We start from the raw sequence: 19,253 nt of genomic DNA, 5'->3' as shown, positions 1-19,253 counted from the left end.
GGAAAAAATACTTCCCAACTCATTCTATGAGGCCAGCTTTACTCAAATATGAAAATCAAAATCAATCCAAGACTTTACAGGAAGCAACTACAGACTAACATTTTTCATAAAGATAGATTTTTTATAAACTTTTTTTTATAAAATGTAATAAAACATTAACAATCTGAATTAAAAAGTCGATTCCAACTGGGGTTTTCTCAGAAATGCAAGGTTGGTTTAACATTCAAAAATCTACCAGTGTAATTCGTTATATTAATTCACCAGTTTTCTCAGAAATTCAAGATTGGTTTAACATTCAAAAATCTACCAGTGTAATTCACCATATTAATAGACCAAAAAGGAAAACCATATGATCAACTTAGCAGGTCCAGAAAAAGTATTAAACAAAATCCACAGCGATTCCCGATTTAAAACAAAACAAGCAAACAAAAAAAAACTCTCAGCAAACTAGGAAGAGAAGGGAATGCCCTCAATCTGATAAACAGCATCTATGAAAGCTCACATTTAATATCAGATTTAATGGTGAAAGATTGTTTTTCTTCTAACATCAACAAAAAGGCAGTATGTCTGCTCTCACCATTTTTACTCTACATTTTATTGGAGATTAGAGTAAGGAAAAAAAATAAAAGGCATGTAGATAAGAAAAAAAAAGAAGAAGTGAAATTGCTGTTATTAACAACCAGATTCTCCTATATGGAACATTTTGTGAAATTACATAAAAGCTATTGGAACTAGTATAGTATTTTTTTGCAAGTTTGATGTTTATACATGCAACATCAGTATACAAAATTCAGTTGTTTTTCTGTATACTAGCAATGAACAACTGGAAATTAACATAAACTTTTTTTTTCTACAAAGAATCAAAGGCAATTCAGTGATCTGGGAATGGATATAATCATTGATATTATTCACCACAAGCCTTTCTGCAGATAAGAGAAGTCCATACTAAGTAACAAAACAGATTCAGACTTCCCATAGCTCATTAAAATTGCCCCATGAGTTGCAGGACTAGTATTTCTGATTCCTGGTAACTAATGAGATTGATAGCAATCTCATAAAAATCACAAAACTACTTCTTTCCATTACATTTATTCATTTAGAGACAGAGTCTATGTCACCCAGGCCAGAGTGCAGTGGTCCAATCTCTGTTCACTGCAATCTCCGCTTCCTGGGTTTTAGTGATCCTTCCACCTCAGCCTCTGGAGTAACTGGGACTACAGGTACACGCCCCCATACCTGGCCAATTTCTGTGTGTTTTTGGAGGTGGGTTTTCACCATGTTGCCCAGGCTGGTCTCAAATTCTTGAGCTCAAGCCATCCCTCTGCCTTAGCCTCTCAAAGTGCTGGGATTGCAGTCCTGAGCCACTGCACCTGTCTACCATTGCATTTAATTCTACATAGATAATCTAAGACTATTTGAAATTAGTTACCATGACTGACACTGTAAGTTCCGAATAGTTTGTCCTATATCTATAAATCCTAATTTTAAGGAAATTGATTGATTCAGTCGGAGTAATCAGTGATTTGTGCAGTCAGAGTTGTGTACAATAACAATATATATTTTTATCCGGATAAAAATACTAAGCTTTTAGTGTAAAAATGGACTAAAAATATTTAAACTAGTGGCTGAATTAAATATTAGCCCTTTAAGTGTTTAGTTTGTTCTTAGTTAATATAAATCAAAACAACTGGTAAGAAACAGCCAAACTGTCAGTTAACAACCAAGAGCATTTTTCCGAGAAGAGGAGTAAGATTTTCACTGGATTCTTAGAAGTGTTGTTACTCAAATGAGTTTTGAAAATCACTGAGTTAGAGATGTCTGTCACGGTATTTCAAAAATATTTTTCATAGAAGGGTGTCTTACTCCAAACAATACAGATATACTTAATTATTTATTTAACAACAACAATGTACTAGTTACTATTACTGGGTTTTTTTGTTTTTGTTTTTGTTTTTTGAGACAGAGTATAGCTCTGTTGCCAAGGGTGGAGTGCAGTGGCATGATCTTGGCTCACTGCAATCTCTGCATCCCAGGTTCAAGCGATTGTCCTGCCTCAGCCTCCTGAGAAGCTGGGACTACAGGTGTGCACCACTACACCCTGCTAATTTTTAGATTTTTAGGAGAGATGGGGTTTCACCATGTTGGCCAAGCTGGTCTCAAACTCCTGGCCTCAAGTGATCTGCCCACCTGGGCTTCCAAAAGTGCTGGGATTACAGGCGTTAGCCACAGTGCCTGGCCTATTACTGTGTTATATAACAAACCACACCAAACTTAGAGAATAAATAATAATCATTTTATGTTGCTTATAAATTTCATATGTCCAGGGCACATCAGAGAAGTTTTGCTGCTTTGCAATATCCATGAACACTCAAATTACTGGTAATGATTCAGAAGGTTGGGAACTGATATTATCTGGAGGCTCCTTCCCTTACATGTTTGGTGCTTGTGCTGGGATGACATGAAGACTGGGCTCAGCTGGGACTGAGCCCAGGTATTCATTGGAATACCTACATGTGGCCACTCCATTTGGACTCTCACAGCAGGGCAGGTGTGTTCTGAGAAGGGAACATCCATAGAGTGAGCTTTTCAAGAGAACCACATGGAACCTGCATGGCATTTTATGACTCAGCCTCAAAAGTTATATATCATCACTTCTGCAATTTTCTGTTGTTTGGAGCAGTCACAGACTACCTAGATTCAAAGGGAGAGGACATAGATTTCACCTCCTGTAACTGGTACATTGCTTTTGATGAGGGAGTGGCAAGGTCACATTGTAGAAGAACATGTGGGATGGAAGATATTTTGGCAGCTCTCTTTAGAAAATACAACCTGTCACTGAGAACAGCAAACAAACTCTTCTTTTCAAGTCAAGTATAATAAATAGTATATAAATAAACACATAATAAGTACCTAATTAAATAGTAAATAAATAAAGGCTAAATTAATGGAAATGGTGTCTGGCTTCTGCTAATCTATAAGCAGGAAATGAGGCATTCATGTTATAAGGCTGATTTTCCCAAACAGGAGACTTCTAACTGTCCCATAGCTTCCTCTTGGGAGATACTTCACTCATCCTGACTTACCATTAGCTGTAGACATAAAATGTTATTCCAATTGCTAAACAGATAATATTAATGATCACCACTTCTGCTGAGGGCAGAGTAAGAAGGGATTATTTCGCATAAGTCCCATGTATTACTTATAAGGTTAATTTTATTCTGTTAAAAATATAGTTGCATCTAATTTTTTATTCCCACTGACCTAAAATGAATTCAGTTTATTTTATTTTCCTAGCATATCTGCTGTTTAATAATGGCTTGTTATTATTCTCAATTTATATGAAGATCTTTTAAACCTTCCTACATTTAAAAAACCACTTATTATATATTTAACTATGAGTCAAGTACTTTGCTGATGCCAGAGACATGATTCTTGCCTTCATTCCTTGTGGAGGACAGGTATCAAGCAGATAGTTACAATGTCATGAGAGCTATAAGGAACTGCAGGATGGATGCAGTGGGGTCATGTAATGGGAGATGCAGTATAGTCTTTGGGTTAAAATATGGGGATGGGGATAGAATAATATATTTTGAGGAAGTAATCAGCTTGTATAAGAAAGATCATGGCACCTTTAAGAAGAGAATTATATTGAACACCTTTTTAAATTTTCATTAGATGGTCTTTTTCTTATTAATTTATGAGAGTTAAAAATATATTCTGGATATGACTCCTTTATCGGATATGTATGTTTCAAACACGTTTTCCCAGTGGCTTGCTTTATTTTTTTAACCTTCTTCTTTTTTTCTTTTTTTTTTTTTTTGAGATGGAGTCTCGCACTGTTGCCCCGGCTGGAGTGCAGTGGCACGATCTCAGCTCACTGTAACCTCCGCTCCCGGGCTTCAAGTAATTCTCTTGCCTTAGCCTCCCAAGTAGCTGGGATTACAGGCACCCGCCACCACGCCCAGCTAATATTTTTGTATTTTTAGTAGAGACGGGGTTTCACTATGTTGGCCAGGCTGGGCTCAAACTCCTGACCTCGTGATCCACTTGCCTCGGCCTCCCAAAGTGCTAGGATTACAGGCGTGAGCCAGCACGCCTGGCCTATTTTTTTTTTAACCTTCTTAATGATGTCTTTTGATGACCACAAGTTCTTAAGTTTGATATTGTTTATCCTTTTTATGATTAGTGCTGTCTGTGTCCTGTTTTCTCATATATCCCATGTTCATGAAGATATCTCTTATATTCTTTTTAAGAAAGTTTTTGGTTTTAGCTTTCACAGTTAGGTCTAATAACTTATTTATTTCTTTATTTATTTACTTAGAGGAGGATCTCACTATGTTGCTCGGGCTTGACTTGAACTCCTGGCCTTAAGTGATCCTCCTGCCTTAGCCTCCTGAGTAGCTGTGACTACAGCGTGCACCACCACATCTAGCTGTAATAATCCATTTAAAATTAATTTTTTGATATAGAGGAGCAGTTGCCCCAGCACCATTTATTGTGGAGAACTCCATTGCATTGAATAGTTGGCACCATTATTGAAAATCAAATAACCGAGTATGTGTCGGTTTACTTTCTGAACTCTCTGTTCCCCACTATCTTCATGAGGTAGCTTTATGTTCAGTCTTCAAATTTGGTAGTGTAAGTCTTCCAACTTTCATCTTATTCTTCATTGTCTTCTTGACTACTCTAGGTCTTTGTACTTTTGCACAAATTTAGAATTGGCTCATCAATTTCTCACTAGAGAAATGCAAATTGGATCCACAATGAAACCCACTACCCATCCACCAGAATTGCTAAAATTAAAGACATAAAATATTAAATGTTGACAAGAATGTAGAACAATTGGAAATCTTGTAAAATGCTGGCAGCAGGGTAGAATTGTAAAATCATTTTGAAAATATTTGGGATTATCTACTAAAACTGAAAAATTCCTAGTCCCTAATTCATAAATGCCATTGCTATGCATAGACCCAAGAGGAAAGAGTACATATGTCCACGAAGTTACTTACACAAAATACCATTTATATAATTATGGCTAATCATAATAGCCATGTTATTCATAGTAGCCACAAACTGGAAACAAATCAAATGTCTTTCTGTAGACAAATACATAAACAAATTATGGTTTATTCATATAATGAAATACCGCACAGCAATAAAAAACTATGGATACATGCAATAACATAGATGAATCTCAGAATGGTATGTTTGGGAAAAGAAGTCAGGCACAAAAGGATACCATACTGTGTGATTGGTTTACATAAAAATCAAGAACAGGCAAAACGAATCTATAATGATGAAATTCAGAATAATACTTACCTTGGGAAGAGTACTGATGAAACTGTATAGATGACGTAAATTTGCTGTATTTTGATCTGGGTGGTGATTGATTACATGAAAGTATACATTGATAAAGACTCAGCAAATCATACCCTTAAAATTTTTGTATTTTACTTTATGTCTATTATACCTTAATCTAAAATAGAGAAAATTCTAGTATAACTAGAGCAGATAAATCAAAGTGGAAGAGTGGTTTGAAAAGAAGCTTGAAAACTATATCAGATCATGTAAAGCACTAAGAGTACCCCACTGATATGGTCTGGCTCTGTGTCCACACCCAAATCTCATCTTGAATTGTAATCTGAATTATAATCCCCATGTGTTTGGAGAGGGAGCTCGTGGGAGGTGATTAGATCACGAGGCTGGTTCTTCCATTCTGTTCTTGTGATAGTGAGTGAGCTCTCATGAGATCCAATGATTTCATGAGGGGCTTTCCCCCGCTTCCCCAGGCACTTCGCTCTCCTGCCACCATGTGAAGAAAAATGTGTTTGCATCTTCTTCCACCATGATTGTAAGTTTCCTGAGGCTTCCCCAGCCATGCTGAACTGTGAGTCAATTAAACCTCTTTCCTTTATAAATTACCCAGTCTTGGGTATGTCCTTATAGCAGCGTGAGAATGGACTAATACACCCACCTTCTGGTGTGACGATTATAATGAAAAATGAAGCTGATTGTTGAAAGAATTGTTAGCCACTGTGACCATTTTTGGTGTTAATTATGGTAGCATCACTAACCAGCTTTTAACTGGTAGTGTTAGCTATATTCCTTTTGCTTACAGGTGGCAGAAACCAAATGTGAGCTATCTTAAGCAAATGGGAAAATTTATTATATGCATACCGGGTTATCTCACCCAATTCAAGGATGGGAACTTGGTATCAAGTAGAACAAACGACTTAGACAACATCTTGTCTGGCACTTTTCATTTGGACAAAAATTTAGTAAGTAGTAAATATGATTGAACAACTGGTTAATTTATACAAAATACCTGGTTTGATTATCCAGATGGACCATTCTTTTCTTGGGTAAAATCAAAGATTTTTGTCTTGTCAGTAATTATAACAATAATTATATAAAACTGACACTTCATAAAAATTTATCAATTTTATAACAACACCGGAAGGTAAATGTTATCACTTCCATTTTACAGATGTGGAAAATACAACTTAAAGAGTTAAATGACTTCATTATAGGCAAGTAGCTGAGAAGTAGCAGTGTTAAGTTTCAAACTCTTTCTGCATCCCAAATCCATGTTAATTTTATCATACCATATTTTCATGAAACACTAACATGAATAAATTTCAGTTTGGAAATTCTGGAAAAATTAGTAATTCTCTGTATATTTTGTGCATCTATATCTTCCCCCAATTTCGAAGACTTTGAATTGTTAAGTGAAATAACCATACACTCAACATCACTGAGGATGTCAGTAACTTATGAGGTTAGACAATATTAATATACAAATATTTTTCTCTCAAAGATTTTTATATCTCTTCAAATGCACTCTGAAAGAGCATTTAGAATCAATGTTGCAAATGTCTAACTGACTGGGATTTGCTTTTGTGATGAGAAAAAGAGAGAGACATTAGAAAATGCCATTTTTAGTCAAGCTAGTACAACAAAGTCACTTTTCTATTCCTCAGAGTAATGACAAGAGATATCTGTGAAAAGGCATACTAGGCCCCATAGTGTCACCTGCAAAAAGTTGAAGAGGTATTCTGAAACATTCATTAATTTCTTAACAGATTTAAGTGTTATAGATTAAGTCCTTTTATTTTAAACCTTTTGAACCAATGATATTACTTTCTTTGCTCTTGGAAATAACAAATACTCTGGGATACAGTTAGACTTTAACAGTTCTAAATCTCTTCTCTTCCAGTCTTTAAGAAGTGTTTACAGGATACAACATTAACTATGTAGTATTTATTCTTGCCAAAAATCGTCAAATTTAATATAATCATGAAGAAACAATTAGCAAAATTCAAACTGAGAAATGTTCTGCAAAAGACTTTTCCTGGACTCTCAAAAACTAAGGATGCCATCAAAGATGGAAAATTCTGGACAACTGTTCCAGACGAAGTGAAAATAGAGCATTATATCAAGTAAATGCAACTTGAGATACCTGACTGGACCCTGGGTCAAAAAAAGAATAAAGGAGGGAAGGAGGGAATGAAGGAGGGAATGAAGAGGGGAATGAAGGAGGGAAGGAGGGAAGAATGAAGGAGGAATGAAGGAAGGAAGGAGGGAAGGAGGAAGGAAGGAAGAAAGGAAAGAAGGAAGGAATAAGGGAGGGAGGCAGGGAAGGATGGAAGGAAGGAAGAAGGGAGGGAGGGAAGGAAGAAAGGAAAGGAGGAAAGGAAGGAAAGAATGGAAGGGAGGAGGGAAGGAGAGAGGGGGGAAGAAGGGAGGAAGGAAAGAAGAAAGGAAGGAGGAAGAAAGGAAGGAGAAAGGAGGAGAAAGGAAGAAAAAAGGAGAAAAGAGAAAGGAATAAGAAAGGAAGGAAGCAGGAAGAAAGGAAGGAAGGAGAAAGAAGGGAAGGAAGAAGGAAGAAAGAAGGAGAGAGCAAGGAGGAAGGGAGGAAGTAAGGAAGAAACAAAAAGACAAGAAGGAAAAAGAGAGGGAGGGAGGAAGGGAAGAAGGAAAGAAAGAGGAAGGAAGGGAGGAAGGAAGGAAGAAAAAGAAGCAAGGAGGGAGAAAGGGAGGGCGAGAAGGAGAAAAGAAGGAAGGAAAGATGGAGGGAAAGAGGGAGGAAGGAGGAAAAAAGGAAGGAAAGGAGGGAGGAAAACAGGAGGAAAGAAGGAGGGAGAGAAAAAGGAAAGAAAGAAGGAGGGAGGGAGAGAAGAGGAAGGAAGAAAGGAAAAAAGGGCAATAAAGGACCTTATTGGGACAGTGGAGAAACTTGGATGTGGATTATATGTTAGGTAATAGTGTTAATGTGAAATATCCTAAGTGTGAAAATATATGATGATCCTGTAGAAAATACCCTTCCTTCCAGGAGATACATTATGAACTATTCAGAGGTTAATAAGAACAGAAACAAGGTACTTGCTGGTTCTAGAATTCTAGATTTTGATGAATAACTTTGTGTTTGTCCTACCCATTTTCCCCATGACTTTACTACATCCCTTCTCAGTTTTCAAAGACATTAACATATTTAGTCTATTTTCCAGCGGTCAACTTTCTATATCTTTACAACATTTTAATTATCTTTCTCTAGATAGTTTCAAGCCTTATGTATTCTTTGAGGTGTGGTGACTAGTACTTCAAAATACATCTAATGCTGATGTACAGTCCTTGGGATAATATTTTATGTTTCCAGTACTCTTCTTTTTGGCACTTTGTATTGGGTTTTGGCACAGAAACTTTTTAGGACAATGTTTTGCATGGACTAATCTAAATGACTCAAAAATGCCTTGTCTAGCAACTCATCTTGGATCTTGCCACTTGACATCATTGGCTTGGCTCTTTTCTCCTGAGAAAAACATATTGTCAACTGAAAATCAATACATGTTAACGTGTATTTGTATGCCGCATCATGTTCTAAATCATGAAAAATTGACTGGTTCCAGTGTAGACTCTGGGGACATTAGCTGTTTATTCTTCAGAAACTGGCTAAATTCTTCCCTTGTTACTCTTTATTTTCTCTTTACTAAATTTTGCTCACTCGTAGGTCAAATAAAACATTGATAATATGCGTATATGTGCCTTATATCTTATGCAGATACATACTAATATGTCTAAGCACATTTTTGGTAGAAGAGGAAGAACAAATAAAAGTATTGATCCAAATAAGAGTTCATGTTGGAATGTAGTAATAAGACCATGGGCTTTGGACCAAGACCAATGTCTTCTGAATCCTGGTTGTGTCCTTACTGGCTTCTGACTGTGGTTGAGCCATGGAACCTCCCTGGGCCTCTGTGTGCCTTCCAGGTTAGTTGTAAAGAGAATACCTTATGCTTAGAGTAAACCTTTAGTCAATATTAGGCATCCCTTTCTTTGTCCACATGAGAAAGTATAAAAATAGTATTATCCAACATTTATTAAGCCCTTATTATGTACCTAGTTCTGTGCATGGAAAAGGGTTTATGCATATTAATAGCATAGGAGTCAGGAGATTGACTGGCTAAGAGTGAAGGCTCTGGAGCAACCTTCCTAGGTTTTATTCCTGACTTTATTAATCACTAATTCATGACTTAGGACAAGATGTTTTATCATTCTTTGCCTCAGTCTCTTTGATCTTTAAAGTGGGGGAGGTAACATTGCCTTCCTTATACAGGCCTTATGAAGATTAAATTAGGTAATATTTATTAAGTAGTTAACAGTGTCTGGCATATCCCATGGTACTATGTATCATACTAAATATTTGATATGTGTTAGCTTTTATTATAGACAATGTTATTATCTAATTCAATCCTCACAGCAGCCCTATGAGTTAAGTAAAATTCTTATTCTTATATTATTTGTGGAAAAATGTTAAGCAAGGTGAAATAATTTCCCCAAGGCCACTCAGTAAGAGACAGAATTAGGACTTGATTCTTCTCTGTCTATATTGTTAACTACTAAAATTTCTCCCTATTTCTCTCCAACTCAATTTCTTATGGGGATTGTCTAAGTAGTCTCTGATATAGGAACTTTCATAAAGCTTTCTGAAAGTTTAAATATAAACTTTATCTCCAAATCTCCTTAGTTATGATTATTTATCCCCTGAAACAACTCTAGTGAAACCTACAAACATCATTTCTCATGCAGAAATCATGTTGACTCCTCCATACTAAATTATTCTCTTTTGGCTATTCAGCTATCCTGCCTTTTCACCAATAATCTCAAAAACATTTCAGGGCTGACTGAAATTTGAAAAGACAGTGTGAGTTTGGACAAACCATTTAACCTCTTTGAAAGGAAATTTGGACTAGATAATCTGCAGGGTACGTTCCAGCTCTAAAATTCTGTGATCCTATGTGTGGAATTGCCACAATCATGCGAGTAATGGCCCAGATGCTCTTTTCCACTTGGTAGTGGAGCCTTGCTGATGCACCATGCTATTTATTAGATACCCTATTTACATGCATGCTTGTTTTCCCTCTGATTCTTGAAAGTATAAGATGTAAGATGGAGATAAAAGATATGCAAGAGAAATGTACTAAAAAAGACATATTAAAGTTAAGTGGTGTATTAATCTGTTCTCACACTGCTAATAAAGACATATGTGAGACTGGGTAATTTAAAAAGAAAATAGGTTTAATTGACTCCCAGTTCCACATGGCTGGGGAGGCCTCACAGTCGTGGTGGAAGGCGAAGGGGAAGCAAGACACGTCTTACATGGCAGCAGGCAAGAGAGCTTGTTGTGTGGGGGAACTTCCATTTATAAAACCATCAGATCTTGTGAGACTTATTCACTGTCATGAGAGCAGCACAGGAAAGACCTGCCCTCATGATTCAATTATCTCCCACTTTTTCCCTCCCATGACACATGGGAATTATGGGAGCTACAATTCAAATGAGATTTGGATGGGGACACAGCCAAACCATATCAAGTGGCAAGAGGAAATGTGAAGGGGTAAAAACGGAATTGCTGTTCATTAGGTTAGGCCTTCTTTTTGGGCTATTATTTTGTATTCTGTGACCTCATTTTAGTGATCAAATCATCCCTTCATTTTATATTCAAATAATACTGTCATGAAGACTGAAAAGAGAGAGCCAATATTGAAATGGCACATGATAGTCTGGTGTTTCTTTTAAATACAACACACATTTTGTTTCTTTCCCTTCAATGGGAAAACTACCAGTGGTTCCATAGGATTTTGTTAATCTTGTGAAATTATGGCAAACTGGAATCATCATTAGGCACCACCCTAAAATATCTCCAGAAATGACCATAGTTTATTTATTTAACCAACACATTCCAAGGAAAAAAACCCACTGAATTTATTAAATACCCATTGTATGTTCTGAATTGTGCCACATAATACAGAAATCTAACGTTCAGGAACTATTCTAAAAAAAACCTCTTAGTTTAGTTAGTGAGGAAGAGCACTATAAAACAATAAACTATCTGAATGCTATACCACTGTAGAGATATACAGAAGATTCTCTGGAAGCACAAAGGATGAACACCTAGTTGTTTGTTTGCTGGGAGGAAAGACACAGGGTAAGGTTTCCCAAAGAGGCAAAGAATGGGCTGTCTCTTGAAAACCACATTGGAATTGGCCTGGTTTGGAGATGAAGATTATAGAGAGGCCAGTATGTGCAAAAAAATAAAGGAGACATATCTGGAAAACTAAATATTTCCATACAGAAAGAATTTAGAATGATTATGCTCTGGTGGATAAAACTGAGTGTGGAGAGTTCGAGGGAGGGCAGATCATGAAGGATCTCACATATCATACTAAGGACTGTCCAGGACTCATGAAGCATCATGGATGGGGTTTAAGCAGTTGAATGATATTTGTTAGCAGTTTACATTTCCAATCATCAGAGAACTTCTTAATAAGGATGCTAATGACATTGCCTGGCTAATCAATTCCCAGGGCTTAATCCAGTGTCTGGAATATGGTAGCTCAACAAATGTTTAATATATGAGATAGTAAATAAATGAGTCAATCAATCAATAAAAGAACTTAGTCAAGAATTTGCTTCTGGACTGCACACCAAATTATTTACAAGGATAATGATGAGATTTACTTTAAAATATTCAAGTAAGAAAGGTTGGGGAGGATAGGTAAAACCAGAATGTCGAAATGTGGATAATTGTGAACACTGGGAATTGGAAATCTGGGGGTTATCCTTCTATTCTCCTTACTTTTTTGAATGTTTGACAATTTTTCCATAATAAAAAGGTTTGAAACATCGCTCCAAAGTTAATGACTTGATTTCTAGACTCCAAATATTACTGTGTTGAAGCATAAATATGTTAGGAAAAGAAAAACTAAACTTTTAATGAATGACAACATGTTTGTAACCTAAAAAAGCTAAAAGGAAAAAATCTGCACACTAAAAAATTTTTTGGAGTAAATGCAACTTGTGACTCTAGTTTGTAAGTTTCAATCTACTTGTGGCTAGAGGACTTGATTGAAACCTCTCTATGGTTAATAATATTGTATAAATAAAAATAATCTGTTATAAATTAACTGTTAATTTTAAAATATGAAAATAATACCCTCACTCAAAAAGTGTTTTGAAAAAAAATTCAAGAGTCTATCACACTCAAGTGATTACTTCACAAAGTTTTAGCATGTTGTTTTGCAGATGCTAAAAATAACTTGGTAGACTTTATTCCGGCTAGCATTGTAAAATATATACATTTTGTACTAAAAGCAATTAGGTTAAGATACAGAAACATAGTCTATATGAAATACTCATTGTTTCAAAAATGTGAATTCTTTGCAGTTAAATTTGAATGGTATATATAGCCATTGATTCATATCTCTTGCAATCCATTCAATAAATTGAGTTATTGCTGTTAAACAAAGTCAGATTTTAATAACTGAAAATTTCTGGAGACTAGCCAGATTATGCAACCTTTGTTTTCCAGATGTTGTGGTTAGAGGGGTCACTGCTGCTTCAGATTATCAGCCTCTAGTAAGCTGGGCATCTCCATGTGTTGAAACAAAGTACATAATGAGGGTCAAACTGCAAGTGTTTAAATGATGGTTCTTCAGCTGACACACAGAGAGAAAGGAATAACGCTGCAATGAGAATACTATAGTAGTAGGAATGACATATAAGGGCCAAGGACAGATGTTAGAGGTTGACTTTGGGTTTTTATGTCATCTTAAATAATTTTGCCCAGGAAAAAAAAAACACAGCTTCACAGCAATGCAGAACACCAGAACTTGTGACAGAAGTTCTTATTTTTTTCATCTTTTTTAACATTAAAAAAATTTCTATTAAAATATTATGAGTAGTAAAAAGGGAAAAGATCATAAAATAATAACAGGAAAAAAGTTGGGTGATTAACAGAGGAAATTACCTTTGTAATTACTATTCTAATAGAAGAATGCCTGTTAATAGGCTTTAGGGGAAAGTATCTTCACTATCGTGCCACGGAAATTTGCCATTGTGTGTTCAACACAAACTGATCTAAATTTTTTTAAGGTATAATACGATCTGGATCTAAAAATGAAAATGAAACAAGTTATCTAAATATCTCAAAGAAGTGAAGTTAAGCAATATTAACCATAGAGAGGTTTAAGTTTATGTAAGTCCTGAAAACTTTATGGAGTGTGAAAAATGCAAAAACTTTTTTTAAAATTTAGTAATTCCTCTAACTCAGTAAAATCTAACATCTGAAGAGGGCCACATTTACCTGGACTTCGGTAAAAATGTTGAAATAAGAAAAATTTGGCAACACAAAAATGCAAATACATACTGCACAAACAGCAAACGTTTGCCACTTAGCACTTCATTTCTTTCCTTATGGAAAAACAGAGGAAAGAAAGCAGGAAGAGGGAAGCAGGGAAGCAAGGCAGGAAGAAAGGAAGGAAGACAGGGAGGCAGGCTACATGTTTTTTCCTCCTTTTGACACCAATTCTTTAAATTGTTTTAGTCTTTTGTATAATAACCAGGAAACCTGAAAATAAGAGATGTTGAAGATTTTAATGTGTGACAGTCCCAATTATAAGAGGAAAGAATAGATTCATATTTATATTTTTAGAGTTCTTAGAATATATCCAAACTGAAAATATAACATGGGAATTGTTTCTCCAAATAATTACATATCTTATTTTCCGTATTTTACCTTTGGAAACTAACATTTCACTGATGGAAAAGAAGGAAACTTTTACAGAGACACAGAAAAAACTGAAAATGCCGGAATATCAGGGAAAGATGGAATTCTTACACAAGTACTTGCCAAAAAACCCAAAACACTGAATGACAAAAACAAGTGTAAAGTGTAACATGTACAAACTATAATAAGACAAAAAGACAATATACTTCTTCCTTCTCACATGATGCTACTTACCCAACATTTTTAAGAAAGATTTTCTCTAATGATGTCTTAGAGGCATTACTTCTGATACCTGTTAAGGGGAAATACCACATATATTCTTACCACAATATTCCATCTAAAGGCTATCATAGTTTGTCTATAAATCATTATCAGTTGGTAAATTTTGATGAGCATTTAAAAATCCACTCCAGCCATTTCGTCTGCACCTGTATTTTTAGGCACTCAAGTGTAAACATGAAAACTGTTAGTGTAACAAGATTTGTAGGTGTAATCTTAAAATCAAATTATAAGCTTTTCTTAAATTTTAGCACACACATCTTGGTTGAAAGATCTACCTGGTATCAATATTGTTTTAAATTTTTAACTATGATATAACTAATTTTTTTGTAATAGCTAGTCATTGTTTCAATAAACATGTATGAGAATATCTGTGAAAGAGAATAAAGCAACAGAGGCATAAGTCAGGGGGACCTTCGCAAGTACACACACATCCCCATATATGAAGAAAAACAAAAATAATATACAAATTAGATTGTATAATTAGGTCTCTTATAGGAATTCAGAAAATAGAGTATTTTTGGTTACAGTTAAATCTAAGTTGCTTTATTCTTAATTTTGAATTAGAACTTATATATGAGTCTCAAGTCAGACTTGTGAGTGCTCTGAATGTTCAGTCCTTATTCTTTCAAACACCTGTTCTTCTTTGTCATCAGTAGTGTCTACTTTGGTGTCCTTGATATCCATTATTTTTACTCTGTATAGATTCCTCACTATTTGTCAGATAAAACTTTCCCTTCCTTTTCTATAACTAAAATGCTTTTTCTTTGGGGTTCCTGAAGTTTATGGCTTTAGGCACATATAAAGGCAAGTGACTATGTAACTGTTTTTCTCAAATGCCATCTTAACATCGCATAGATAATAGTGTACTACCAGAGCCTCTGCACCCATTTTCTCCTCCCCTCCCCCACTTTACCTTCTCTTCTTTCACTGTTCTCTGTTCAACTCAGCCCACTCCCAGTCCATCAGACATCTTCCTATGATAGAACATGCCTACAGACTTCTCCTTTATGTTTCCTGCCATCTGGAACAGCTTTTTCTGCTTCATCCACTGTGTTGCTCCAAATCTTAGGGGAATATGTTCTAAAATTGTTTTTCTCCTTTAATCTTTGTAATTGTACTGTTAAAACTCATGAAGTGATCATTTAAAACAAACTATATAAATAAACCCATGAAGATGTGTATTTCTTGTGCAAATTAAGACTTATAAAAATACAAACTACTAGAATTATTTAACTTGGATAAAAAAGATTGAGTGAATTACTAACATTTAAATACATAAGGGATAACATGATTGTTGAGGACTAGCTATATTTGTTACACATTAAAAGGAAACGTGCTCTAATTTAAGTAAAAAGATTCCTCAGTGAGATATAAGGGAGAACTGTTAATGTTAAATAACAAAAACATTGTTAAATAATGGAATGGCTCACTTAAGTTGGTTATCTCTATTCTTTTTGGAGCAGCCAAATAGTATATCTGTTCATGTGCTTCAAATCTGATAAATATTCATGCTCTATGAAGAAGGATATGTGTGTGTGTGTGTGTGTGTGTGTAAGAGAGAGAGAAAGTCAGATAAGCATGGACAGAAACACACAATATTGGGGAGCAAGCCACAGTGAGGAGTGTGGCTTGTTAAATAAGATCCTTGACAGTTGTATTGTGTTCTTGGGGCAGATGAGTAGTTTTTTTTAAAGTACTTTTGAGAGAACAGTGTTTTCTACTTTTACATTTCTGTATTTCACAGGATAAAGCTTCTGCTATAGAAGAAATGTAACATCAAAACAAAAGCAAGATTTAACATGAAATTTTAAAAGTTGTACTTATAGAGATTTTTTGAGTTACGTATTATTCACCATACTACTGGAGATTAAATTTCATAAATGTATAATTTTTGTACTTATAAATACCATCCCATCTTGTTCCTGAAACAACTGAAATGATAGTATTTGATTATTTTATTGGAATAATAGCTTACAAGATCAAGACAAAATTTTTGTTAAATATTTATTTTGTTTCATGTGTTGCCACGTGAAAAGTGATGAATTTCACATAAACTTTTATATTTCAAGAAAAGTTTCTATATCTCCTAGAGAGACTATATTATGTAAAAACGTTAGGTCTTGGCTTTCCAAACTTTTACTATTATTTGTTAACCTTGTTATTTAAACTGCATGGAGATCTTTTTAAAGTGATATTTTATTTTTGGAAACCCATAAAAATGTTAAAATAAACAAACAGGAAAGGATATAGATGGAATCTGAACTATCCTTATATGCAAAAGAGTTGGCTGAACAAAAAATTGCAAGGATCATTGCTTTGGGAACTAAAATCTAGAACTTCCAAATAAGACTTTTCTTTCTATTTGATATTTACAGACTTTGTACATAAACAAGTACAATAAACAACTTAATAAATCTTACAGTTAACTGTCAATGCTATAATTCACAAATGTTTTTTATGTTTAAGAAAATTAAAAGGGCTATTTGGAGTATTTGTTACATTTAAAGGACTTAGTAAAATTCAATTCAATATCCACTGTTAAATACAAATAGTTTATTTGGCTGAAGGGAAGTTTTAATTTTTAGCAGGTAATGTATATTTTCTTATAACAGACAATAGTTCAAAGGGAAGGTTACAACAATCTGCATATTGGACATTTGAAAAAGAAATATAAACACTGTCAAAAATCAATCAAAATGACAGGAACATCATGTTTAGAAAACTTAGAGGGGGATTTTCCAAAAAATTTTTAAGGAGCTAAGTACTAGTAGCATATTTAGGTGAAAGCTTTTGTGGCTTCTAAATGAAAAGAATATATGAGATAATCATGCTAGTTTTCTATGTTTACAAAACACACAGAAGATATATATCACAAACTTTACCCAGAGTAATATTATATTCCATGTCATAATTTGGTTTATTTTCAATCACAAGAATAAAACATCTATTAGTAAGAATCATACATTCCAAGCCTTCAAAACCAGAAAATCCCACTATAATTTTTAGTTTCTAAACTCTGTTTATTTGAAGAACTTCAAGATCGTGTAAAATATTACAATTATTTGAAGAACACTTTTTTAAAAGTTAAGCTAAAACAGCATCGGTCTTAGAAGTAAATACAATTTGCAAAAAGGCATACAAAATTTCCTATCTTTTCAGTCTATCTTTTCAAGCCTAACCACCTAGAAATAGGCTACTTTACCTATAATTGAATAGAATAAAGTGTCTTTAAAGATGCAAATATGTTCAGTATTTGAGAATAGCTATCTTAAAAAAAATAAGTTATTCTGATAACCAGGTTGCAATAGGACAAGTCATGGTAACCTTCCATTTTTAAGATTCAGTTACAAAAGGCAATTTTATATCCTATTATTCCAAAGGGTTTGAGGCTTTATTTCTTCTTCCTCATATGTATGATGATTTCTGGATGTTTTAGTATAGGGCATCACACTGGTGCAGCACACTTGGGCTTACAGTGCAGCCCAAGGCATTTGCAGCAAGTATTTCCCACTAGGAATGTAAGGAGCTAGGAGGTTACAAGGCTTGAGGAAACAATCTAGAAAACCACAATACAGCTTGTTGGTCCTTTCCCCACAAATAACCTTTTTAAACCAGACCCATAAAATGCAGTTTATTATCTAACATTTTTAAGGAGAATCTTTTGTTAAATGTTAACAAAAGAACGACTATCCAAATTCCCTTTAAAATGCAATCCTTAAAAAATATTGAACTCTCAAGTCTTTTTGGAAAGTGCTTAAATCATCTGGAGATAAATATCATTTGGTGTCCTTGTTTTCTAACAAATGGCTTTTTCTATTGTTTCCATTAATTTCACCCATATTCGTTTTTTTAAAAACAAGGCCCTTATCCTCATCAGCAAAACACAGATGTATGATTTAGCATATAAAATCGGTAATTACATACTAATTTACGAAAGATTTTTTTTTCTCCTTTTCGTCAGTTTTCAAGAAGTCTTCCCGTGATTAACTGTAAACAGGAATGGTTTACATCTCAAATTAGAAGCCATTAATTAGCATGACGAAGTCAACTGCAAGATACACAGATTATTTAAATTATTTAATCACTATTCACCTTGGCTAAACTGTAGTATACTCTTTCAATATCCTTAGGCAGGTTATCGATCTGTCACTAAATTACCTCCAGATCAGTTAGACATGAATATTAGCGTCCTTTCCTTTCCCTCAGGTTTACATTCTCCCTTCTCGTAAACACTTAAAAAAGCTTTAAGGTTCTTTAATTCCAAATACCTAATTAGCCATCACTAGCCTTTTTGTAATAAGGAAAAAGAGTATCTGAAGTACAAATCAAGAGTTCGCTTTGCCCGTTTAACAATAAAAAACATTTAAAAAACGTACGCCAAAGGCAATGGCAGTAATAAAAGAAATATGCAGAGGTGGCTTCAGCAAATAACGGGTTTGCAAAACGCAAGTGCTTAACAAAAAGCAGCCCAAACCTCTATTGCAATATACAGCACTCCAATAAATTACACAACACTTGCATAGGCTGCAGAAATAACGCAGGACAAGACTTACACAGATGCCAATCCGCAGCATTTATACACATGCACATGGCAAGAGACAGAAACCAAACACTATCATTCAACTCGGGAAGGGTAGCGCGATCCCGAGCTTGCCCAGCGTGAGAGTGCTCTCTGCGTGTGTGTCTGTGTACGCGCGTGAGTGAGACCCATCCTTGGGGCATTTCCCCTCTCTGGGCAGTTTTGCTTCATTTGTTTCATATTTCTGCTACATAGAAACTAACTTCCATCTCAGCTCCAGCCAGCGCCGCTGAATAGAGCCTGTGCTGCGGCTCCGTGTGCGTCAGATCCCTCCGCGGAACCGTCCCCGGCCCCCTCCCTGCCACTATCGGCCTCCACAGAGAAAGC

At 35.1% G+C, this 19,253-nt stretch overlaps 1 annotated feature.

Moving 5' to 3' along the window:
* Positions 19,090-19,139: an enhancer, noted in NCBI's record as "active region_24767". NCBI's record gives its function as "activates an Ori minimal core promoter by ATAC-STARR-seq in GM12878 lymphoblastoid cells {active_cell/tissue: GM12878}" and the evidence as "EXISTENCE:reporter gene assay evidence [ECO:0000049][PMID:35858748]".

This window comes from Homo sapiens, chromosome 6, assembly GCF_000001405.40.
Source record: "Homo sapiens chromosome 6, GRCh38.p14 Primary Assembly".
NCBI lineage: Eukaryota > Metazoa > Chordata > Mammalia > Primates > Hominidae > Homo > Homo sapiens.
Note: the sequence above shows the minus strand (reverse complement) of the source record. Positions and strands in the feature narration are given on the sequence as shown.